Source organism: Homo sapiens, chromosome 19 (genome assembly GCF_000001405.40).
Source record: "Homo sapiens chromosome 19, GRCh38.p14 Primary Assembly".
Classification (NCBI taxonomy): Eukaryota; Metazoa; Chordata; class Mammalia; order Primates; family Hominidae; genus Homo; species Homo sapiens.
Window position 1 is genome coordinate 2,442,331 of NC_000019.10, and position 23,698 is coordinate 2,466,028.

Below are 23,698 nucleotides of genomic sequence, written 5' to 3' on the forward strand. Positions count from 1 at the left end.
TCTGTAATCCCAGCACTCTGGGAGGCCAAGGCGGGTGGATCGCTTAAGTCCAGGAGTTTGAGACCAGCCTGGCCAACTTGGTAAAAAAATTAGCTGGGCAAGGTGGTGTGAGCCTCTAATCCCAACTATTCAGGAGGCTGAGGCAGGAGAATCGTTTGAATTTGGGAGGTGGATGTTGCAGTGAGCCGAGATTGCACCACTGCACTCCAGCCTGGGTGACAGAGCAAGACTATGTCTCAAAAGGAAATAAATAAAAAATAAAAAAAATTAGTTGGGTGTAGTGGTGCATGCCTGGGGTCCCAGCTACTCGGGGTGGGGCTGAGGCAGGATCACCTGAGCCTGGGAGTTCGAGGCTGCAGCGAGCTATGATTGTGCCACTGAGCTCCAGCCTAGGCAACAGAGACCCTGTCTTAATGAAAAGGAAAAGACGGGCCTCTCTGTAGATGCCACGCACTGCTCAGGAGATTGTGAACTGGGAATTCCTCAACACCTAGGGCGGGCACTGTGTACCATTTTCTTTTTTTAATGTTTTAATTTGAGGTGAAATTCACATCCTGTACATTTCAACATCTTAAAGTGAACAGTTGAGAGGCGCCTGGTGCGGGGCCAGCAGCAGCTCTGTCCCATCTGCACGGTGTAGTTCTGACATTTCAGAGCTCCGTGCACCCCTGACCAAGCTCTAGTCATCCCACAGCCTGCATGGCTCCACTGATGAACCTGCTTATTAAACACGGTGGGTGCTGGAGGTAGACAGCACAGAGCTGCTGCCTGAGCAGGTCCCGGGGTGCACCTGTGCTGTGTGGGATGTGCTGAGAGTGGGCAGCCTGTCCTGGCTGGTGCCTGGCCCCAGGGTCCCCGGCTCATGGCCACCATCAGGGCACAAATGGTCCCTCCTGGAGCCCCAGGCCCCGGGCAGGCGGGCGGTGGTCCCTGGGCTGACCTGGAGGGTCTCCTGTTGGGGAAGGGAAGTCAGCTCTCCACGGGAGCAGCGCCAGCCCAGGAAGGAGGAGGGCGTCGGATGGAGAGGTCACCTGCAACCACGCATGGGGGCCCCGGCACTGTTGGACACAGGGTCCCCGGTCATTCCTCTGGCCACACTCCAACTCAGGGACAACGTGGATTCTCAAGCCACTGGCTGCTGTCACCCCCGTACCAGGTGGCCGAGGTGCCACCCCTCCTGCCAGCAGATCCCTCCATGCTGAGCCAGGCCTGCGTGGCTCTGGGAGAATGAGCAGTGTGGGAAGACCCTGACCCACCCCAGCCTGAGGAAATCCGAGGCACCTGCAGGTGCCTGAATGCCGGTGGCCGGAGACCACGGAAGACAGTGTCCACACGCAGGGCACCAGAGACCTCGCTCTAGCTGGAGCCTCACATCAAGAAAAGCCTTGAGCTCAGTGTTTCATTGGCCTCCTGGCTCCTCTGAATAAATATTCCTTTTGTCATCATCGTTCTGTTTAAATTGCCGCCCAACCACATCCCACGCCCAGAATCAGGCAAGACTCACTGCCAGGCTGAGAGGGGAGATCGTTTCTGCCGATGGACACAGTTGTCACCCAGAAGGACTTTGCAGCCAACCCTGGGGCAGCCCAACAACCCATGAGCACCCTGGTCACACACCACACACCCGAGCGTCCCAACAGCTGGGACAAAACCCCGGCACCAAGAACATCCAACCACAGGGAAATGCCTACGATGGGGCCTGAGGTCAAACGCGTCTCACGGTGTCCACTGGGTGCCGCCCGGGGTCTAGGTAAGCATGTGCAAGCGCGTGTGCACACTAAGGAGACAGGCCAGGCTGACCAGGAAGCCCTCTCTGGGGAGGCTCGCGGGAGATTTTACTTGTGAGCTTAAGCTGCCCTGCGCTTCCTGCTGTCCGATGTGAGCATCTATCACTTTCCTCAGAACAGAAAAAGTGACGTGGCAGCCACTGGTGGGGGAGAGAGGATGGGAGCTGTGAGCTCCAGGCTGTGCCCGTATCAGAGCATGCCCCGCACGAGCCCAGCGCCCACCTGCCCCCGTCCACCCCGTGGTGCCAGGATCAGGGTGACGTCGTGCCCAGCCGTGACCACTCACCTCTTGTTGACCTCGTCCAACTCTGCCCTCAGCTTCCCAATCTCTATCTGCAGCCGGGCACGCTCTCGAGCCGTCTCATCCAGGACTCTCCGGGCATCGGCCAGCTCCGACTCGTACAGCGCCTTGATGCCACTCACCTGGGGAGACCCAGGACAGGGTGAAGCGAGAGGGACCCTTCCCCTTGGACTACAGCAGTCAGGGGGCCCGGCCACTGGCCCTGCTCAGATTCCCAGGGACTGGCACGCAGAGAGAGAGGATGGCAGCCTGGGGACACTGGGACACCCTGTGTTGCCCATCTCACAGACACAGCAAAGGGAGCCCCCTGTCGGGGAGGGTCCGGTAACCAGGAGGAAGCCAGGCGACCCTGGGTCCCAGCCATCCCAGGAGCCTCCTCCTCTGCTGCGGCCCCCTCTGGAATGATCGTCTCTCCACGAGCTCCAGCTCCCAGAACAGCGGCGCCCAGTGCTGGAGACCAAAGGCCCTGGGCCTGGACCAGCACAGCAGCTGGATGGAGCCTGTCCCCTTCCCCGGAGGACCAGCCACACCTGGACATGCAGCCCCTTGGCCGCTGTCATAGCGACACGATGCCTGGCCATTAGATGCATTTTTCACACTCTCGGTTTCAGAACCAGAAAACTGGTGGGATGTTTAATCAAGGATCTCTCCCGCTGGGCACCATGGACACTGGGCTGATCACTCTCGGACAACTGGTGATGACAGCAACCCGGGGCCCTCCCAGACCCCACTGGGCCTGAGAGCCCCCTGCCCCCACCAGCCTTTGCAACCTGGAGTCCCCTCCCAGACCCCTCTGGGCCCCTGAGACTCCCCCCAGGCCTCTGCAACCTGGAGCCCCCGCTCCCCCAGACCCCGCTGAGCCCAAGATCCCCCACTTCTGCCAACCGGGGGCCAGCCCGTGCCCCTCTGTGCCCCTACCTCACACGCAGGCACATGGCCCAGGCTCAGGCTGGGCTGTTCCCTGGGATGGAGGGAGGAGCATCTGGCCTTCCCATGCTGTGTCCCCCCGACAGGCCAGCTGCCAATGTGGTGGCTCGGAGGCTCCAGGACAGAAGCTCCCACCCCTCAATCACAGAGATCTGCAGTCAGAGTCCCCAGCTCCCCACCCCACCAGCGGCCCCCACCTTTCACCCCTCGATCACAGGGATCTGTAGTCAGAGTCCCCAACTCCCCACCCCACCAGCGGCCCCCACCTTTCACCCCTCGATCACAGGGATCTGCAGTCAGAGTCCCCAGCTCCCTACCCCACCAGCGGCCCCCACCTTTCACCCCTCGATCACAGGGATCTGCAGTCAGAGTCCCCAGCTCCCCACCCCACCAGCGGCCCCCACGTTTCACCCCTCGATCACAGGGATCTGCAGTCAGAGTCCCCAGCTCCCCACCCCACCAGCGGCCCCCACCTTTCACCCCTCGATCACAGCGATCTGTAGTCAGAGTCCCCAACTCCCCACCCCACCAGCCGCCCCCACCTTTCACCCCTCGATCACAGGGATCTGTAGTCAGTCCCCAGCTGCCCCCCCCAACCAGCCGCCCCCACCTTTCACCCGTCGATCACAGGGATCTGTAGTCAGAGTCCCCAACTCCCCACCCCACCAGCTGCCCCCACCTTTCACCCCTCAATCACAGGGATCTGTAGTCAGAGTCCCCAACTCCCCACCCCACCAGCCGCCCCCACCTTTCACCCCTCGATCACAGGGATCTGTAGTCAGTCCCCAGCTGCCCCCCCCACCAGTCACCCCCACCTTTCACCCCTCGATCACAGGGATCTGTAGTCAGAGTCTCCAGCTCCCCACCCCACCAGCGGCCCCCACCTTTCCCGACGGAGACCCAGCCCAGCCAGCAAGGACATGGGGAGGGGCTGGAGAGCCAGGGGTCACCAGGGCAGGCAGAAGCGACTGGAACACCCTCTGGGCCGCCCAGCTAAAGAAAGCCCCTCCCTAAGCCCCGCGCAAAGCCCCCAAACCCGCCCCTCTCGAGGGCCTCCAGGTGAACTCGAGGCACATGCGGTGCCAGGGAAGGCGACCTCTTCACTTCCTACTAATCCTGCTGCAACCACAGCCGCCACCTGCCCGGCCTCTGCACGCGCCAGCTGGGGGCACAGCTCAGGCTTCTAGTGGCCTTCCTGCCTCCCCTCCTCCCACAGGGCCATGCACTCAGTGAGTTTAAAAATATGTGGAAGCAAACCGCAGTGAGATGCCACTTCGCACCAGCCAGGGCGTCCGTCAAGAAGACAGACAGTCGCAGGTGCGGGCGAGTACGCAGAGAAATCGGAACCTCACAGGCAGCGGCAGGAACCTGAGCTGAGACAGCTCTACAGAAAACAGTCCAGGGGCTCCCCCAAGAGTCACAGAGCCACCCTGTGACCCGGTAACTCCACTCCTGGGTGTGGACCCAGAAGACATGAAATTCACATCCATGCATGTTTGAAAACTACACATGGTGCCGGGCGCAGTGGCTCACACCTGTAATCCCAGCACTTTGGGAAGCCGAGGCGGGCGGATCACAAGGTCAGGAGATCGAGACCATCCTGGCTAACACAGTGAAACCCCGTCTCTACTAAAAAAACATACAAAAAATTAGCCAGGCGTGGTGGTGGGCGCCTGTGGTCCCAGCTACTTGGGAGGCTGAGGCAGGAGAATGGCATGAACCCGGGAGGTGGAACTTGCAGTGAGCCGAGATCGCACCACTGCCCTCCAGCCTGGGAGACAGAGCGAGACTCAGTTTCAAAATAAATAAATAAATAAATAAAATGAAAAATAAAAATAAATAAAAAAATAAAAGCAATGCGGTCCCTCCACCATCCACACACAGGAACATGACCCAGCTGTGTAACGGAGCAAGGTTCTGACACCACAGTGTGGATGCCCCTTGAGGATGTCACACTCATGAGACGCCAGACACAAAACGCCACACAGTGTGTAATCCCATTTCCATGAAATGTCCAGGTCAGGCCAGTGCACAGACACAGGCAGCGGGTGTGTGGGCAGCGGGGCTGGAGAAGGGGACGGGGAGTGACCGCTGAGGGGGACAGGCTTCTTTTAGTGGGGATGAACGTTCTAAAATTGGACACATTGGTGGTGGCACAGCTGTGGAGATATGAAAACGCGAAACCTACGGGTGAGCTGGGTGAACCTTATGAGGCGGGAATTAACTGCTCCGGCTCTGGCGCTGAGGAAAAGGAGGACCGGAGGATGGTAGGCGGAACCAGGCCCAGCACCACCCGCTAGAACGCCGTGATGTTCCCACAGCCCTACAGGGCCAAGGGTGTCTATGCAAGGTGGGTACAGGGTCGGCCTGCATCTGGAGGGCCACACCCCCATGTTACAGGCGAGGCTCCTGTGCAGAGGGCTGGGGGCCTGCCAGGACGCACCCCTTGGCAGTGACCGGGCCTCTTCTGAGGTGGGACCCTCAGCCTCAAACCAACGCATGCTGGGCCATCTGGACAAGTCAGAGTCTCAGGCTGCCCCAGCACCGCAGCTCCAAGTCCCGTCAGCCTACAGTGGGGCGGGATAAGGGTTCCCAACCTGATTTTATGTATGGGAAAACTGAGGCACGGGTCAGTAAAAAGCCGCCTCCTGACCACCGCTGGGTCCTAGACATATCAGGTCTGCGGGGACCAATTGTAGGACGGGGACCCACAGAGGCAGCAGTGCAAAGCGAGCTCCTCCCGCGGCACCCCGGCCACCCCCAAGCCCTCCCTCCCATGCAGGCGATCATCTGGGCCGTGCCCTCCACATCTGTGTCCTGGGAACAGACTTCTAGAAAAACCCAAATCAGGAAAAAGCGGCCAGCTCCACGCTGCAAACAGCTGGGCACCAGGTGCAGGCATGGTGGTGTCTGCCTCTCCCTCAAAGCTCCCAAATACCCCTAACCTCAAGGGAGGGGCTGACGGGACACCCTCAGGATGGGGGTCACACACGAGCTCTCCTGTCCCCACAGAGAGAGAGCTGACTGCGGCTCACGAGGCAGAGGGGCCAGGATGAACAAAACAGCAGAGTTTCCAACAAAGACAAGATCAGCGCCGGGACACACAGGAGCCCGTTCAAGGTGAGAAAAAACAGCAACTCTGCAATGGCAGCCACACGCACAGAGGCATGCTGAGCACCCCCAGACCATGTGCACGGCGGTCCTGTAAGACTCTAATGCAAACCTGGCATGGGGGCTCACCCCTGTCATCCCAGCACTTTGGGAGGCTGAGGTGGGCGGATTACGAGGTTAGGAGATCAAGACCATCCTTGTTAACACGGTGAAACCCTGTCTCTACTAAAAATACAAAAAAATTAGCCGGGCATGGTGGCGTGCACCTGTAATACCAGCTACTCAGGAGGCTGAGGCAGGAAAATTGCTTGAACCCAGGAGGCAGGGGTTGCTGTGAGCCAAGATTGGGCCATTGCACTCCAGCCTGGCGACAGCCAGACTCCACTTCAAAAAATAAAAAGAAAAAGAATCTAATACCATATTCTTACTGCACCTTTCTTGTGTTTATTTACTTATTTTGAGACAGAGCCACACCCAGCCTGGAGAGCAATGCCGCAATCACAGCTCACTGCAGCCTCAAACTCTGGGCTCAAGCAATCCTCCTGTCTCAGCTGCCCCAATAGCTGGGACTATAGGCACACATACTACTATGCCTGCCTAATTAGTTTCTAACTTTTTTTTTAAGAGATGGGGTCTTGCTATGTTGCCCAGGCTGGTCTCAAACTCCTGGACTCAAGCAATCTGCCTGCCCCAGCCTCCCAAAGTACTGGGATTATAGGCGGGAGCCACCGCACCCAGCCCTTTCTCGTGTTTAAATGCTCACATACTTACCATTGTGTAACCGGTGCCCACAGCATTCCACAGAGGAGCGGGCGGTGTGGGTCTGTGGCCTAGGAGGCCACGCCCAAGCCTGGGTGTGTGGTGGCTTCCACCATCCGGGAGTGTGGGAGTGCACTCTACCATGCCCACACAAGGGGCACGTCTCCTAACGACACGCTTTCCACAAGGTATCCCTGTCACTAAACGACACCTGACTTGAATTAATAGTTTGTTCATTGTAGATTTTTTGAATTAATTGATTTTTAAAAGATAATCCATTAGGGCCCGGTGCGCTGGTGCATGCCTGAAATCCCAGCACTTTGGGAGGCTGAGGCGGGCGAATTACTTGAGGTCAGCAGTTCGAGACCAGCCTGGCCAACATGGTGAAACCCTGTCTCTATTAAAACACAAATTAGCTGGGTGTGGTGGTAGGCGCCTGTAATCCCAGCTACTCGGGAGGCTGAGACAGGAGAATCACTTGAACCCGGGAGGCAGAGGTTGCAGTGAGCTGAGATCACGCCACTACGCTGCAGCCTGGGTGGTACAGAGAGACCCTGTCTCAAAAAAAATATACATATGTCTGGGCGCCGTGGCTCACGCCTGTCATCCCAGCACTTCGGGAGGCCAAGGCAGTTGGATCACCTGAGGTCAGGAGTTCGAGACCAGCCTGACCAACATGGAGAAACCCTGTCTCTACTAAAAATACAGAATTAGCCGGGCATGGTGGTGTATGCCTGTAATCCCAGCTACCCAGGAGGCTGAGGCAGGAGAATCGCTTGAACCAGGGAGGCGGAGGTTGTGGTGAGCCAAGATCACGCCACTGCACTCCAGCCTGGGCAACAGAGTGAAACTCCGTCTCAAAAAAAAGAAAATAAAATACATATACATATACATATATATATACACATATATATATATATTCCATTAAAACATTACTCATCCCATCGCCCCAGCGTGACGATGAGCAAAACAACACACAAACCCCCATTGAGGAACATCCTACTGCACACCTGCCCAGCCCGCTCAGGACCAACCAGAACCTCTAACCAGGAACGTGGGGGAAACTATCAGCCTGGAGGAGCCTGGGAGACAGTGACGTAGTCACTAAATGTCACGTGAGATAGTGGATGGGGTCTTGGGGCAGGAAAGGACATCGGGGAAACTGAGGAAGTCTGAATACATGATGGATGTTGCTGGGAGCAGTGGCTCACAGCTGCAGTCCTACAACTTTGGGAGGCTGAGGCAGGAGGATCAGCCTGCCTCAGCCTTCCAAAGTGCTGGGATTACAGGCATGAGCCACCGCACCTGGCATAAGATGATGGGAGGCTGAGGCGGGCAGATCACCTGAGGTCAGGAATTTAAGACCAGTCTGGTCAACATGGTGAAACCCCATCTCTACTAAAAACACAAAAATTGCACCATTGCATTCCAGCCTGGGCGAGCACAGGGCAAGACTCTGTTGCCCAGGCTGGAGTGCAGTGGCATGATCTGAGCTCACAGCAACCTCTGCTTCCCGGGTTCAAGCGATTCTCCTGCCTCCCAAGTAACTGGGACTATAGCCGTGCACCACCACGCCCAGCTAATTTTTGTATTTTTAGTAGAGACGGGGCTTCACCATGTTGGCCAGGCTGGTTTCAATCTCCTGACCTCGTGATCCGCCCACCTCGGCCTCCCAAAGTGCTGGGATTATAGGTGTGAGCCACTGCGCCCAGACGGTTTTTACATTTTTAAATGGCTAGGGGTAGCCAGGAGAGGTGGCTCATGCCTATAATCCCAGCACTTTGGGAGGCAGAGGCTGGCAGATCCCCTGAGGTCAGGAGTTCGAGACCAGCCTGACCAGCATGGTGAAACCCCATCTCTGCTAAAAATACAAAAATTAGCTGGGCGTGGCAGTGCAAACCTGTGATCCCAGCTACTGGGGAGGCTGAGGCACAAGAATCGCTTCATCGCCTGAATCCGGGAGGCAGAGGTTGAAGTGAGCGGAGATTGTGCCACTGCATTCCAGCCTGGAAAACGAGACTGTCTCAAAAACAAAAACGATAAAGGCCAGGGGGGAAGATGAAGAGACTTTGTGACACAGGCAGATTCTATGCACTTCACAGTTCCATGTGTATAAATAAAGTTTTATTGACACATAGCAGCACCCACTTATTCACCTATGGGCTAAGGCAGCTTTCATCCTATGGCAGAGCTGAGTGGTTCAGATGCAGACAGTCTGGCCTTTTTTAGAAAAAGTCTGCTGACCATGCCTGGTCTGCCGTGCTGTGATGATGAGGAAAGTTCTAGAGGCTGGGGCACCTCACAAAGACCCTTTGAGCCTGCGGAACGGGTGTGCCGGGGCAGGACGGCCTCCTTGTGCTTGTGAGGCGCTGCAAAGGGCTGGGGACAGGCTGGGCCTTTTCTTTCATCTTTCACGGCATCTAGCAAGTGCTAGGCTTGAGGGAAGTCAACAAGTGTGTCCACACATGTGGGCCTGGCAGGGCTCAGATAGCCTGAGATGGCCTTTGCCTGGGACCCCTCGGACACACAGAGCAGCATAACTCGGCTGGAGGAGGCCACGGTGGGACAAAATGGCCCGGCTAAGAACTACAGCCCTGTGCAGAAAATGCAAACACCGGCTTGGGGTCACTTCCAAAGTGGACTCCATCCTCCACGCTCGCCTGGGCCGCCTCCGAGACCCCCTCCAGCAGCCCTGAGCAGCCAGGGGACACCGGGGCAGGGGAAGACAGAAGATGCCGAAGCCAGGTCTCCTCCCTCGGGAACGTAAGGCCTGGCAGGGAAGTACCTGGAGTACCTGCCTCTCCCGCGCCTGGACACGGGCCACAGCGCGGCCTCCCTGCACCTGCCCCCGCCCCCAGCACTCAGTGATCCTCCTTCAACAAATACCCATCTGGCCAGCCCCCACCCCACCCTTTCCCAAGCCCTCCAACGATGCTTGTATATGGCGATTCATCCACACCGCCAAAAGACACCCCCTAGTGTCACATGGGAATGTGGAACCCATGCTTGGCCTGGTTTTGTACGAGTGTGCAAGGGTGAACTCCTGCGGGCAGGAAAGAAGTGAGCAAGTTAGCCGGGCATGGTGGTGGGCGCCTGTAATCCCAGCTACTCAGAAGGCTGAGGCACGAGAAGCCCTTGAACCCAGGAGGTAGAGGTTGCAGTGAGCCAAGATCACGCCACTGCACACCAGCCTGGGCGACAGAGAGAGACTCTGTCTAGAAAAAAAAAAAGGCCAGGCATACTGGCTCACACCTGCAATCCCAGCATTTTGGAAAGCTGAGGCGGGCAGATCACAAGGTCAAGAGATAGAGACCATCCTGGCCAACATGGTGAAATCCCATCTCTACTAAAAATACAAAAATTAGCCGGGTGTGGTGGTACACGCCTGTAATCCCAGCTACTTAGGAGGGTGAGGCAGGAGAATTGCTTGAACCTGGGAGGCAGAGGTTGCAGTCAGCCGAGATCACACCACTGCACTCCAGCCTGGGCGACAGAGTGAGACTCTATCTCAAAAAAGAAGTGAGAAAGGCGTGTGTGAGGACCTCGGGGGCCGCCACACACCAGGATGCTGTGAGTCGTGTTATGAGCCTGAAAAAATCTGAACTGAGTCCCTCACGCCTCCCAGCAGGCTCCTCGGCCTGGCCATTCTCATGGGGGCCGTGTTACCCTCATGGAGGCTGCGTCATCCTCGTGGGGGATGGGTCATCCTCATGGGGGCTGCGTCATCCTCATGGGGGCTGGGTCATCCTAATGGGGGATGGGTCATCCTAATGGGGGCTGGGTCATCCTAATGGGGGCTGGGTCATCCTCGTGGGGGCTGGGTCATCCTCGTGGGGGCTGGGTCATCCTCATGGGGCTGGGTCATCCTCGTGAGGGCTGCGTCATCCTCGTGGGGGCCAGGTGATTCTCTTCTCGGGGCGCTGAGCAGTACCCAGCCTCCACCCACGCTGTGCCGATGCCGTCTCCCTCCCAATGTGACAACCAAGGGCATGCCCAGCCTTGGCCAAGAGTCCCCTGGGGGCAGAAGCTGGCCAGGTGAGAGAGGCCCTGCTGTCCAGGTGACCTGCATGCTCTTAGGCCTGACACCCCAGGTCCCTCCTCGTTCAGAGCTCCCTCCCCTGCCCCCATCCTGCCAGCCTGAGCCTGAGGCTGCTCTCTGAACCCCACGTGGCCCACCTGTGTCTAGAAGGCCCCCAGCTATTCCAGGTCACTCCCTCCATGTGGGCCCACATGACGTCCCCCCACCAGCGGCCCCCACCCCAGCAGGCTTCCAACTCTGCTCCCCACTAGCCGGGTTCCTGGCCCACTAGTCGCAGGCGGAACTCCCAGCTGTCCCCTGCCACATGCCCTGCAGACACGGCTGGGTGACAGGGCTCACGGAGGGGCCAGTGTGTCACCTGCTAAATGGCTGCCTTCACTGGAGTCAGACCCGCATTTCACCCAGCCTGAGTGAACTGAGTTGTAAAGGATGCTGCTGCGGCCCCGAGAGGTGGCTGGGCCAGGCTCCCTCTAGGGCACAGGGCCGGTCCAATGGGGCGTCCAGTGGGGCTGGGGCTGGTACCTCCCCAGCACTCACCAGGCCCTGCACCCTCAAAGCTCCCTGCAGCTGTTCGTCCCATTGGCAGGTGGGATAACAGAGGCCCAAAGACAAGAAACCAGCTCTAACCCTGCACGCCACGGGTCCAGCAGGCGGCCTCTAAGTTGGGACAACTCCGCACTGGACAGATGGCAAGATGGAGGCTCCAAGAGACACAGGGGCCTGCCCAAAGCCACACTAATTGAAAAGCAGGGGACTGGCCAGGCACGGCGGCTCACACCTGTAATCCCAGTACTTTGGGAGGCCGAGGCAGGCAGATCACCTGAGGCCAGGAGTTTGAGACCAGCCTGACCAACAAGGCCAAACTCTGTCTCTACTAAAAATACAAAAATGAGCCGGGCATGGTGGTGAACACCTGTAATCCCAGCTACTCGGGAGACGGGGGCAGGAGAATCACTTGAACCCGGGAGGCAGAGGGTGCGGGGAGCTAAGATCGCGCCACTGCACTCCAGCCTGGACGACGGAGCGAGACTCTATCTCAAAAAAAAAAAAAAAAAAAAAGAAAGAAAAGCAGGGGATCCCACCAAGCACTGATCTTCCTTCTACCTCCCTGAAGGCACCAGCTACATTCTTTCAGGTTCCCTGTCCCCAGGGCACTGTGAAAACAACCCACAGGGAGCTACTGAACAAAAGTTAACCTGCTGTGGCCCCACACACAAGTAAGAGGTGGGTATTATAATTACACCCATTCCAAAGGCGAGGGCACTGAGACCCAGAGAGGGTAAGCGACTAGCCCAAGGTCACACAGAGGGTAAGTGGCTCCCAGAAATGACCCGACCCCCTCAACAAGCAGCTCTTCTCCCAGAAGCCCACCACGTCCTCTGATCTCCAGATGGGCGAGTGGGGACTGGGCGCTGCAAATCCCGACTTCGGCACCCAGCTCTCCCAACAGGACACTGGGGCCTAGGGACCCCAGGACCCCAACCCATGGCAGGAATCAAGTGGGTGCTCCTGCCTGCCCCCCGTTCTGGAGTCCTGTCCTTGGATTGGGCATGGCCAGTGGGAGGGACAAAGAGCCTCCCCAGGGTTAGGTTGGGGGGCAGGACAGATTGCACCCAGACCCCAAGACACCCCGACCTCATGTCCCCTTGGTGGGCAGACTTTCCCGCCTCTTCTCCTTCAGTCTGCACTGAAGCCTCGGGGCCCATTCAGAACCTCAACACTTTCCACCGGACCCAAGATCCCAACTCTCACCCTTCCTTCATATTCTCTTGGGGGCAGAACCTGCCAGACCACCGCTGACACCAGGGCACAAATAAGGGACTCCCAAATTTCCCGTGGGACCCCAAGGTATCAGAACCTCTCCCTCGGCCCCCTACCCACCCTGGGCCTGGTGAGAGATGAGGGGCCTAATTCCCACCCCAGTCACCAATCTCTTCTGGATTCATCAGGGAACTCGCTAAAGCTCCAGGGAGAACTGAGACCACGTGACTCACCCCAGAGACTCCAGGGAGACCCCCCACACACCCCATCTTGGGCCTCCTCAGAGGGCCTGGGCCCCCCAGTCTCCTTGGAGCCCAGAGACCACCCCCATTCCACCCCAGATACCCCAATACCCAGCTTCATCCCCAGAGACTCCCACTCACACCCCCTCAGTTGGGGGGGGTCCGCCAAGTCTCCTTGGAATCCTCTGAGGGACGAGGCATATGGGGGGCTGCAGCCCAATACTCAGGGAGCCCCCAAATCCCCAGGACCTCTCTTTGGTGGGGAGCCCTAGTCTGTAACCCCCATGGCCCCAAAATGCACCTCTCACGGAAGGGTCCCCAGAGCTAGCTGGAGGCCCCTCTGCAGCCCTCACTCAGGACACGGAAGATCTCCTGGGACCCCCTCCATAGGTGGGGCATTCCTGGTCTGCACTTTTCACTCAGTGCCCTAGAAACCCCCTGGAGGTCCCCAAGAGAATGGGCCACTCCGGTCTGCACCCCTCCCAAGGGGTCCCCCAAGATCTCGGAAACTGCGGTGGGCAGGGCCTGCCCAGGTGGCACCCCTCACTCAGGGTCTCCCCCTGGAGATCCCCGAGGCCAGGCTGACCCCACCCCTGCTCAGGGTCCCCCGTGATCGCGTACTCCGCGGTGGGCTGGGCCTGGCCGAGCTGCACCCCTCACTCAGGGACCCCTTGAAACCCCCTGGAGACCCCCAAGCCGGGACCCTTCCCGGTCTGCACCCCTGCCCAGGGTCCCCGCGATCGCGCACCCCGCGGTGGCCAGGACCTGCACCCTTCATCCAGGAGCCCCCCGCAAACCCCCTGGAGACCCCAAGCCGGGAGTCGTTCAGAGTCCCCCGCGATCGCGCGCCCCGTGGTGGGCGGGGCCTGGCCGAGTAGCACCTTTCACTCAGGGACTCTCCGAAACGCGGCGGAGATCCCCGAGGCCGGACTGTCCCCGTCTGCATCCCAGCTCAGGGTTCCCCGCGACTGGGAGCCCCGCAGTGGGCTGGGCCTAGCCGAGCAGCACCCCTCACTCAGAAGCCCCCAAACCTCCTGGAGACCCCCGAGCCGGAGCCTGTCCCCGTCTGCACCCCCGCCCAGGGTCCCCGCGATCACGCACCCCGCGGTGGGCGGGGCCTGGCCGAACTGCACCGCTCACTCAGGGGCCCCTCGAAACCCCCTGGAGACCCTCGAGACCCGGGCCCGTCCCTGTCTGCACCCAGGGTCCCAGCGATTGCCCACCCCGCGGTGGGAGGGACCTGGCCGAGCTGCACCCCTCACTCAGGGGCCCCCCGAAACCCCGCGGAAACCCCCGAAGCCGGGGCCCGTCCCCGTCTGCACCCCCGCCCAGGGTCCCCGCGATCGCGCGCCCCGCGGTGGGCGGGGCCTGCCGGCTGCACCCCCGCCCGGCCCCTAAGCCCCGGCGCCCACCTCGCGCGTGGTCACCTCCTCCTTCTCTGAGATCTTGAGCAGGAGCCGGTCGTTCTCCAGCTCCAGCGCGCGGACGCGGTCGATGTAGTGCGCCAGGCGGTCGTTGAGCTCGCGCAGCTCCTCCTTCTCCTGCAGCCGCGACAGGCGCGTGGGCGACAGCGGCGTGGCGGGCCCGCCCGCGCGGCCGGGCAGCGGCGTGGCCATGGTGGCGGCGGCTCGCGGCCTGCGCTGCTCCCGACGGCGGCCCGGGCTCGGCGGGCTCATTCAATCCGCGCCGCCGGCTGCAAGATGGCGCCGCGCCGCGCCGCGCCCGCCGCCCGCCGCGGCGGGGCAGCCTGGGACTGGTAGTCCGACCGCCGGGCGCGCGCGGGGCACGCCGGAAGTTGAAGTCTCCGTCCAGCTCTCGCTTCGCAGAGGCGCTGACTCCAGAGACAGACTTCCTGGCTGCAAACTCCCAGCTCCGCCACGAGGAAACAGCGTTGGGTTGCTTTCTAGTACCTGTTTCCCCACTTAGAGAACCTCAAAACGTGTTCAAAGAACCAGACACAAAAGGCCATATAGGGCCGGGCGTGGTGGCTCACGCCTGTAATCCCAGCACTTTGGGAGGCCAAGGCCGGTGGATCACTTGAGAAAAGAATTTCGAGATCAGCCTGGACCACATAGGGAGACCCCCCCACACCATCTCTACTACGGAGGCGCGCGCCGGTAATCCCAGCTACTTGGGAGGCTGAGGCAGGAGAATCTCTTGAACTTGGGACGTGGAGGTTGCAGTAAGCCAAGATCGCGGCACTGCACTCCAGCCTGGGCAACAATGAGAAACTTTGTCTCAAAAAAAAAAAAAAAAAAAAAAAAAAGCCATATAGTGTACAATGCCACTGATATAAAATGTCCAGAAGAGGCTGTCAAGGAGTATGAATTTCAACAAATTGAGTTTAATGATCTCATTGGCTCTTATTAGCAATTCATGAATTGGATAGCATTCAATCTATTAAATAGGCACTCCAATGAGCTGAGCAGAGAGGATGGGCATTCTGCATTACAGGCAGAAAAGGCTGAAGAAAGGAGAAATAAGAATTAAAATAAAAGCCAGGCCAGGTACAGTGGTTTGCTCACGCCTGTAATGCCAGCACTTTGGGAGGCGGAGGTGGGAGGATAGCCTGAGCCCAGGAGTTTGAGACTGGCCTGGGCAACATAGCAAGACCCCATTTCTAAAAATAAAAATAAAAAAATTAGCCAGGTGCAGTGGCTCACACCTGTATTCCCAGCACTTTAGGAGGCCAAGCCGGGCAGATCATGAGGTCAGGAGTTCGAGACCAGCCTGACCAATATGGTGAAATCCCGTCTCTACTAAAAATACAAAAATTAGCCAGGCATGGTGGCACATGCCTGTAGTCTCAGCTACTCGGGAAGCTGAGGCAGGAGAATTGCTTTAACCCGGGAGGCGGAGGTTGCAGGGAGCCAAGATTGAACCACTGCACTCCAGCCTAGGCAACAGAGTAAGACTCCACCTCAAAAAAAAAAAAAAAAAAAAATTAGCTGGGCGCCTATAGTCCTAGGTATTTGGGAGGCTAAGGTGGCAGGATTGTTTGAGCAAGAGAGGTCAAGGTTGCAGTGAGCCCTGATCACATCACTGCATTCCAGCCTGGGTGACAGAGTGAGAGTTTGTCTCAAAAAAAGTAAAAATAAAAATACGAAATAAAAACCAATTGGTTGTTTCAAAGTTACTTTTTTCATAGGGTCTGTTTTAACCCCCTCTATTTTGAGGGTACTTCCCTATCAGGTTAACCGGTCCCCTTTGGCTTGGTGGCTGTGAATGTTTTTTTTTGAAAACCTGCACCCTTTAAAGTTCAGTTTGAGGCCAGGTACGGGTGGCTCTCACCTGTAATCTCAGCACTTTGGGAGGCTGAGATGGGGAGATCGCTTAAGCCTAGGAGTTTGAGAACATCCTGGGCAACATAGTGAGACTCTGTCTCCAAAAAAAAAAATTTTTTTTTTTTGGAGACAGAGTCTTGCTCTTGTCACCCAGGCTGGAGTGCAATGGCATGATCTCGGCTCACTGCAACCTCCACCTCCTGGGTTCAAGCAATTCTCTGCCTCCCGAGTAGCTGGGATTACAGGCACCCGCCACCATGCCCAGCTAATGTTTGTATTTTTAGTAGAGACCTGGTTTCACCATCTTGGCCAGGCTGGTCCTGAACTCCTGACCTCGTGATCCACCCACCTCGACCTCCCAAAGTGCTGCAGTTACAGGCGTGAGCCACGGCACCCAGCCAAAAAAATTTTTAATAATTAGCCACATGTGCTGGCACACACCTGTAGTCCCAGCTCCTCGGGAGGCTGAGGCAGGAGAATGGCTTGCATCCAGGAGTTCAAGTCTGCAGTCAGCCATGATTGCGCCACTGCACTCCAGTGTGGGCAACGGAGCGAGACCCTATTTCAAAAAATAAAAAAAATAAAAGATCAGTTTGACTACGTGGTACCTGGCACTAGTGACTCCATTCCAATTTTATCTGGTCTGCTGGGGACTAGAGACCCCATTGTCTAAAACAATGGCCTGCCATACATTTTATTTAACAAGGCCAGGCGCGGTGGCTCATGCCTGTAATCTCAGCACTTTGGGAGGCCGAGGCGGGCAGACCACCTGAGGCCAGGAGTTCGAGACCAGCCTGGCCAAAATGGCAAAAACCTGTCTCTCCAAAAAGTACAAAAATTAGCCAGGCGTGGTGGTGTACGCCTGTAATCCCAGCTACTTGGGAGGCTGAGGCACGAGAATCGCTTGAACCCAGGAGGCAAAGGTTGCAGTGAGCTGAGATCACACCACTGCACTCCAGCCTGGGCGACAGAGCAAGACTCCGTCTCCAAAAAAAACCCCCCAAAATTGTAATTTAACAAGACAACCTATACAGCAGTGTTTCTCCAACTCTGCACTAGATATTTGGGGCCAGATCACTCTCTGTTGCAGGGGGTTGGAGTCAGGAGGTGCTGTCCATTACAGGGTATTGAGCAGCATCCTCGGTCTCCACCCACTCCATGCCACGAGCATCCCAGCCTCATACTTATTTTTTATTTTATTTTTATTTTTAGTTGAGGCGGGTCTCGCTCTGTGGCCCAGGCTGCAGTGCAGTGGCGTGATCTCGGCTCATTGCAACCTCCGCCTCCCGGGTTCCAGCGATTCTCCTGCCTCACTCTCCCGAGTAGCTGGGATTACAGGCACTTGCCACCATGCCCGGCTAAGTTTCTGTATTTTTAGTAGAGACAGGGTTTTGCCATGTTGGCCAGGCTGGTCTTGAACTCCTGACCTCAAATGATCTGCCCGCCTTGGCCTCCCACGTTGCTGGGATTACAGGCGTCAGCCACCGCGTCCGACCCCGGCCCCCTAGTTATGAAAACCAAGTATGTCTCCAGAGATTGCCACATGTCACCAGAGGGGCAAAATTGCCCCAATTGGAGAATAACTTCCTCCTGACCTAGAACTGGCCCGGTCTTCCTTCTGCCTGGGGAACTCCTCCTTTTTACACATCTCACCTTGGGGGTTTGGCTCAGCCTCTGCCAGAGACCCCAGTAAATCACACACTGAGAATCTAATGCCCTTTCCAGCCTACTGAGGACACCAGGGGAAAGAGCCCACCTGCCTCCAACAGCCAACATTCACTCGCTATTATTCCCCTCTTACCAGATAGACCCCCAGCCTTAGAACCCAGGCAGGAAGCCTGGCATGGTGGCTCACACCTGCAATCCCAGCCACTCTGGGAGGCTGAGACAAGAAAATGGCTTGAGCCCAGGAGTTTGAGACCAGCCTGGGCAACATAGCAAGACCCAACTCTACAATACTCTACAGTTTTTTTTTTTTTTTTTTTTTTGGAGACAGAGTCTTTCTGTCCCCCAGGCTGGAGTGCAGTGGCCCAATCTTGGCTCACTGCAACCTCCTCCTCCTGGGTTCAAGAGATTCTCCTGCCTCAGCCTCCTGAGTAGCTGGGATGACAGGCATGCGCCACCATGCCTGGCTAATTTTTGTATTTTTGTAGAGTTTCCTCATGTTGGCCAGGCTGGTCTTGAACTCTGGACCTCAAGTGATCTGCTCACCTCGGTTTCGCAAAGTGCTGGGATTACAGGTGTGAGCCACTGCACCCGGCCCCTACAAAAAAATTTTTTTAATTAGTTGGTCGTGGTGGCGTGCATCTGTATCCCCAGCTACTTGGGAGGCCGAGTCAAGGAGATGGCTTAAGCCCAGGAGGTGGAGGCTGCAGTGAGCTATGATTGCACCATTTCACTCCAGCCTGGATGACAGCGCAAGACTCTCTCTCTCTTTTTTTTTTTTTTTGGCAGGGGGGACAGGGTCTCACCCTGTCACCCAGATTGCAGTGCAGTGGCTTGATCTCGGCTTACTACAACCTCCACCTCCCAGGGTCAAGTGATTCTCCTGCCTCAGCCTCCCGAGTAGCTGGGATTACAGGCGTGCGCCACTACGGCCCAGCTAATTTTTGCTAGAGACGGGGTTTCACCATGTTGGCCAGGCTGGTCTTGAACTCCTGACCTCAAATGATCCGCCCACCTCGGCCCTGCAAAGTGCTGGGATTACAGGCGTGAGACACCGTGCCCAGCTGCAAGACTCTTTCTCAAAACAAACAACAAATAAACCAGCCAGGCAAGAGGGAGCTAAGCAGTGACTGCGTATTTAGAGGACTGATACTGTTTTCCTTCCTCATAAAGGGAGGAATATAAAATATAAAGACAGATGGTAAAGCACAATGGGAAATAAATAATACTACAGGAGGCGGGGCCAGAGGGGAGAAGGATGATTGAGGTTTGGGTGGGAAATGGGGTCACTTTTTTTTTTTTTTGAGACAGAGTCTTGCTCTGTAGCCCAGGCTGAAGTGCACGATCTCAGCTCTCTGCAACCTCCGCCTCCTGGGTTCTTGTGATTCTCCTGCCTGAGCCTCCTGAGTAGCTGGGACTACAGGCATGTGCCACAACGCCCGGCTAATTTTTGTGTTTTTAGTAGAGACGGGGTTTCACCATGTTGGACCAGGCTGGTCTCGAACTCCTGATCTCAGGTGATCTGCCAGCCTCGGCCTCCCAAAGTGCTGGGATTACTGGTATGAGCCACCACGCCCGGCCGGGTCACTTTTCCTATTCTCCACCCTCAGACTGATCTGAAACCGCCCCCCCGCTCCGCATCAACTTCTCACTGACCACCGGCCTTGGCCACTGGCTGACCAGATCCCCCAACTAGCCCCTTACTGGAGGCCCTGCGGGGTCCCGCCCCCAACCCCATCGCGCTGCCCCTCTGGGCACTTCCATCCCCACATACCCCCATACCCAGCCTTTGCCCGTGCTGTTCCATCCGCCAGGAGCGCCGTTTCCTGCCTGACTGCGCGGCCCTGGGCCTCAGTCTTGCGCTCTGCAAACCGGGGTCTCGAATCTACCCCAGCCCTCCTGTCTCGGCGCTGGGGAGGGGCTTCGGGTGCCCAGAGCCATCCCCGCGGGACCCCCAGGGACTGGACTCCAAGTCCCAGAAAGCCCCGCGCTTCCCGTGGGTGGGGCCCGGGGCTTTCCCCCTCCCAGCGCGCAGTTTGGGAGGCGCTGGGCAATTTTCAAATTTTGGCGCCGAACGGGAGGGGCGGTGACAGCTGAGACCGTGGTCCCCCCGGGGGCACCCACGCCCAGGCTGCTGCTGGCAGCTGCGCCCAGAGCCCGAGGTCTGGGGCATCCCGCAAAGCTGCCCCGTCCATTCCGAGGGGCCTCCCAAGGCACCACACGCGCCAGGGGGCTCCGGGCCCATTTCCATTATGGAAAACTGAGGCACAGGAAGGTTAGGGACCGGTCGGGGAATCCGCACCAGGGGCGTAGCGGAGGCGGGATTCGAACGCGGGACCCTCTTTCCCCCGGGAGCTAGAAATTAGTGACCAATTGGCTGGGCGCGGTGGCTCACGCCTGTAATCCCAACTTTGGGAGTCCGAGGCGGGCGGATCACCTGAGGTCAGGAGTGCGAGACCAGAATGACCACCATGGCGAAACCCCGTCTCCACTTAAAAAAAAAAAAAAAAAAATTAGCCGGGCGTGGTGGCAGGCGCCTGTGACCCCAGCTACTCGGAAGGCTGAGGCAGGAGAATCGCTTGAACCCAGGAGGCGGAGGTTGCAGTGAGCCAAGATCGCGCCATTGCACTCCAGCCCGGGCTACAAAAGCGAACCTTCGTCTGAAAAAAAAAAAAAGAAAAGAAAAGAAAAGAAAGTTAGTGACCAACTGCTGTCTGCTTTTGGGGAGAGGGTACGGGGCCGCGGGAGAGAAATCCCGGACCCTGGGACTATGCAGCCCGTGAGGGCCCCAGTCCCGACCCGTCCATTCCACTGACCTCCACCCGGCACCGCCACTCCCACCCGGGGAGTGGATTTTGGCGCCAGATTTTAAAAATCTCAGCCTAACGGCTGTGGCTGGCTCCCAGCCCGGAATGCGAGCCTGGAGCCCGGATTCCGGAACCTGGATCTGGAGGAGCCCGGATTCCAGAGCCTGGTTCTGAGGGAGCTCGGATTCCGGAGCCTGGATCTCGGGGAGCCCGGATTCCGGAACCTGGATCTGAGGGAGCTCGGATTCCGGAGCCTGGATCTCCAGGAGCCCGGATTCCGGAACCTGGATCTCAGGGAGCCCGGATTCGGAGCTTGGGTCTGAGGGAGCTCGGATTCTGAAGCCTGGATCTCGGGGAGCCTGAATTCTGGAGCCTGGATTCTGGGCTGTGGGTCTTGGGAAGCCGAATTCTGGAACATAGATTCCAGAACTTGAAGGCCAAACCTGGTATCTAAGATCAGAATTCAGGACCCTGGAGTTGGAACCTTGTGACCCCAACAGAAATCCGGGAGGCAAGCAGAGCTCTGGGGCCGTGGCTGGCAGCTGCCTGTTAAATGAGTGAATGGAACAGTGAAATCAACACATATTTGCGTGGCTTCTACTTTGTGGCAGGCACTGGGGGGACAGAGGGGAAGCGAGTACACATTATAAATAAGTGAATTAGGTAGGGCGCAGTGGTTCACACCTGCTATCCCAGCATTTAGAGAGGCCGAGGCAGAAGGATTGCTTGAGGCCAGGAGTTCGAGACCAGCCTGGACAACATAGTGAAAGCCCATCTCTACAAAATATACAAAAATTAGCTAGGCGTGGTGACTCATGCCTGCAGTCCCAGCTACTTGGGAGGCTCAGGTGGGAGGATCACTTGAGCCCAGAAGGTAGAGGCTGCAGTGAGCAGAGATTGAGTCACTGCCCTCCAGCCTGGGTGACAAGAGTAAGACCCTGTCTCAAAAATAAATAAATAGGGCTGGGCTTGGTGGCTCACACCTGTAATCCCAACACTTTGGGAGGCCGAGGCGGGCAGATCACCTGAAGCCAAGAGTTTGAGACCAGCCCAGCCAACACAGTGAAACCCTATCTCTATTAAAAATACAAAAATTAGCCGGGCATGAGGGAGCACGCTTGTAATTTCAGCTACTTAGGAGGCTGAGGCACGAGAATTGCTTGAACTCGGGAGGCGGAGGTTGCAGTGAGCCGAGATTATGCCACTGCACTCCAGCCTGGGTGATGGAGTGAGACTCTGTCTCAAAAATAAATAAATAAATAAATAAATAAGTGAATTGTATGGCATGCTAGAGGATGGTGAGCATGAGGAAGAAAGAAAGTGGGGTAAATGCTGGGGCATGTGTGGAGTAGGGGTAGAGGTGGGCCTCTTAGAAAAGGGCAAGACAGGGTCTCGCTATGTTGCCCAGGCTGGTCTCAAACTCCTTGGCTCAAGTCATCTGCCTGCCTTGGCCTCCCAGAGTGCTGGAATTACCGGCATGAGCCACCGTGCCCAGCTTATATTCACTTTTCTTATCTCACAGTTTCTGTGGGTCAGGAATCCAGATGTGGCTTAACTTTGGCATCCTCTGTCTCAGGGCTCTGAAAGGTGGCAACCAAGGTGTCTCTGGGGCAGAGTCCACTTCTAGACTCACTCACACGTGGTCAGAAGGATTCTGTTCCTTGCAGACTGTTAGACCAAGAGCCTCAAATCCTGGCCCACTGCTGTCCAGGGCCTGCCTCCGTTCATCAGGAGGAGCTGGGGGTGAATTAGTCAGGGTTCTCCAGAGAAACAGAACCAGCAGGAGGGGAGAGAGAATAAGAGATTTTTTTTTTTTTTTTGAGACAGAGTTTTGCTCTTGTTGCCCAGGCTGGAGTGCAATGATGCAATCTCGGCTCACCACAATCTCTGCTTCCCGGGTTCAAGCGATTCTCCTGCCTCAGCCTCCCCAGTAGCTGGGATTACAGGCATGCGCCACCACACCTGGCTAATTTTGTATTTCTAGTAGAGATGGGGTTTCTCCATGTTGATTAGGCTGGTCTTGAACTTCCGACTTCAGGTGATCCGCCTGCCTTGGCCTCCCAAAGTGCTGGGATTACAGGCGTGAGCCACCACACTCGGCCAAGAGATTTATTATAAGGTATTGATGCACGGGGGCTGACAAGTCACAACATCTGAAGTCTGCAAGCTGGAGACCCAAGAGAGCCGATGTTCCTTTTTATTTTTATTTTTTTTGAGATGGAGCTTCGCTCTGTTGCCCCAGCTGGAGAGCAGTGGCATGATCTCGGCTCACTGCAACCTCTGCCTCCTGGGCTCAAATGATCCTCCCCCCTTAGCCTCCCGAGTAGCTGGGATTACAGGCATGCGCCATCACGCCCGGCTAATTTTTGTATTTTTAGTAGAGACAGGGTTTCACCATGTTGGAAAGGCTGGTCTCAAACTCCTGACCTCAAGTCTCCTGCCTCCCAAAATGCTGGGATTACAGGCGTGAGCCACCATGCCCGGCTGAGAGCTGATCTTTCTGTTTGAGTCTGAAGACAGGAAAAAGCTGATGTTCCAGTCTGAAGGCCTTCAGGTGGGAGGAATTCTCTGCTCCCCAGGGGAGTGGCAGCCTCTGTATTCCATCCGGGCCTTCAGTGAATTCCGCAAGGCCCACCCGTGCTAGGGAGGGTAGTGGGTTTGAGTGACTCAGTGAGTCTACTGATGCAAAGGGTCAAAGGCTCATCTCATCTAATAACCCCCTCACCGGCATGCACAGAGTAATGTTTGACCAAATATGCAGGCACCCACAGCCCAGCCATGATGGCATATAAAATTAACCACCGGGCGGGGCGCGGTGGCTCACGCCTGTAATCCCAGCACTTTGGGAGGCTGAGGCTGGTGGATCACTTGAGGTCAGGAGTTCAAGACCAGCCTGGCCAACATGGCAAAACCCCGTCTCTACTAAAAAATACATAAATTAGCCAGGCGTGGTGGTAGGTGCCTGTAGTCCCAGCTACTGGGGAGGTTGAGGCATAAGAATCACTTGAACCCATG

The 23,698-nt window shown here is 57.0% G+C and overlaps 1 protein-coding gene and 1 long non-coding RNA gene across 2 annotated transcripts in view, besides 9 other annotated features; both read right to left on the reverse strand.

The window, feature by feature from the left end:
- LMNB2 (lamin B2) overlaps window positions 1-14,629 on the reverse strand; it is a 28,794-nt gene extending 14,165 nt beyond the window's left edge. The window contains exons 1-2 of the mRNA NM_032737.4: window positions 14,340-14,629; window positions 2,074-2,210 (exon numbers count right to left, since the gene is read on the reverse strand). Of these exons, the coding sequence (NP_116126.3) occupies window positions 2,074-2,210; window positions 14,340-14,603 (401 nt within the window). The 5' untranslated portion in view covers window positions 14,604-14,629. The remainder of the gene's footprint in view (window positions 1-2,073; window positions 2,211-14,339) is intronic.
- Window positions 10,652-11,266: an enhancer, noted in NCBI's record as "H3K27ac-H3K4me1 hESC enhancer chr19:2452980-2453594 (GRCh37/hg19 assembly coordinates)". NCBI's record gives its function as "activates a minimal SCP1, AML or CMV promoter by ChIP-STARR-seq in naive H9 embryonic stem cells {active_cell/tissue: H9 hESC(naive)}" and the evidence as "EXISTENCE:reporter gene assay evidence [ECO:0000049][PMID:30033119]".
- Window positions 11,267-11,881: an enhancer, noted in NCBI's record as "H3K27ac-H3K4me1 hESC enhancer chr19:2453595-2454209 (GRCh37/hg19 assembly coordinates)". NCBI's record gives its function as "activates a minimal SCP1, AML or CMV promoter by ChIP-STARR-seq in primed H9 embryonic stem cells {active_cell/tissue: H9 hESC(primed)}" and the evidence as "EXISTENCE:reporter gene assay evidence [ECO:0000049][PMID:30033119]".
- Window positions 11,938-12,648: an enhancer, noted in NCBI's record as "H3K4me1 hESC enhancer chr19:2454266-2454976 (GRCh37/hg19 assembly coordinates)". NCBI's record gives its function as "activates a minimal SCP1, AML or CMV promoter by ChIP-STARR-seq in primed H9 embryonic stem cells {active_cell/tissue: H9 hESC(primed)}" and the evidence as "EXISTENCE:reporter gene assay evidence [ECO:0000049][PMID:30033119]".
- Window positions 12,649-13,357: an enhancer, noted in NCBI's record as "H3K4me1 hESC enhancer chr19:2454977-2455685 (GRCh37/hg19 assembly coordinates)". NCBI's record gives its function as "activates a minimal SCP1, AML or CMV promoter by ChIP-STARR-seq in primed H9 embryonic stem cells {active_cell/tissue: H9 hESC(primed)}" and the evidence as "EXISTENCE:reporter gene assay evidence [ECO:0000049][PMID:30033119]".
- Window positions 13,618-13,797: a silencer, noted in NCBI's record as "silent region_9789". NCBI's record gives its function as "represses an Ori minimal core promoter by ATAC-STARR-seq in GM12878 lymphoblastoid cells {active_cell/tissue: GM12878}" and the evidence as "EXISTENCE:reporter gene assay evidence [ECO:0000049][PMID:35858748]".
- Window positions 14,028-14,117: a silencer, noted in NCBI's record as "silent region_9790". NCBI's record gives its function as "represses an Ori minimal core promoter by ATAC-STARR-seq in GM12878 lymphoblastoid cells {active_cell/tissue: GM12878}" and the evidence as "EXISTENCE:reporter gene assay evidence [ECO:0000049][PMID:35858748]".
- Window positions 14,178-14,427: a silencer, noted in NCBI's record as "silent region_9791". NCBI's record gives its function as "represses an Ori minimal core promoter by ATAC-STARR-seq in GM12878 lymphoblastoid cells {active_cell/tissue: GM12878}" and the evidence as "EXISTENCE:reporter gene assay evidence [ECO:0000049][PMID:35858748]".
- Window positions 14,548-14,727: a silencer, noted in NCBI's record as "silent region_9792". NCBI's record gives its function as "represses an Ori minimal core promoter by ATAC-STARR-seq in GM12878 lymphoblastoid cells {active_cell/tissue: GM12878}" and the evidence as "EXISTENCE:reporter gene assay evidence [ECO:0000049][PMID:35858748]".
- Window positions 16,607-19,855, reverse strand: LINC01775 (long intergenic non-protein coding RNA 1775). The gene is made up of 2 exons (NR_134931.1): window positions 19,651-19,855; window positions 16,607-16,770 (listed from the first exon to the last, which is right to left on the reverse strand). It is a non-coding gene; the product is annotated as a long intergenic non-protein coding RNA 1775 (long non-coding RNA).
- Window positions 20,042-20,111: a silencer, noted in NCBI's record as "silent region_9793". NCBI's record gives its function as "represses an Ori minimal core promoter by ATAC-STARR-seq in GM12878 lymphoblastoid cells {active_cell/tissue: GM12878}" and the evidence as "EXISTENCE:reporter gene assay evidence [ECO:0000049][PMID:35858748]".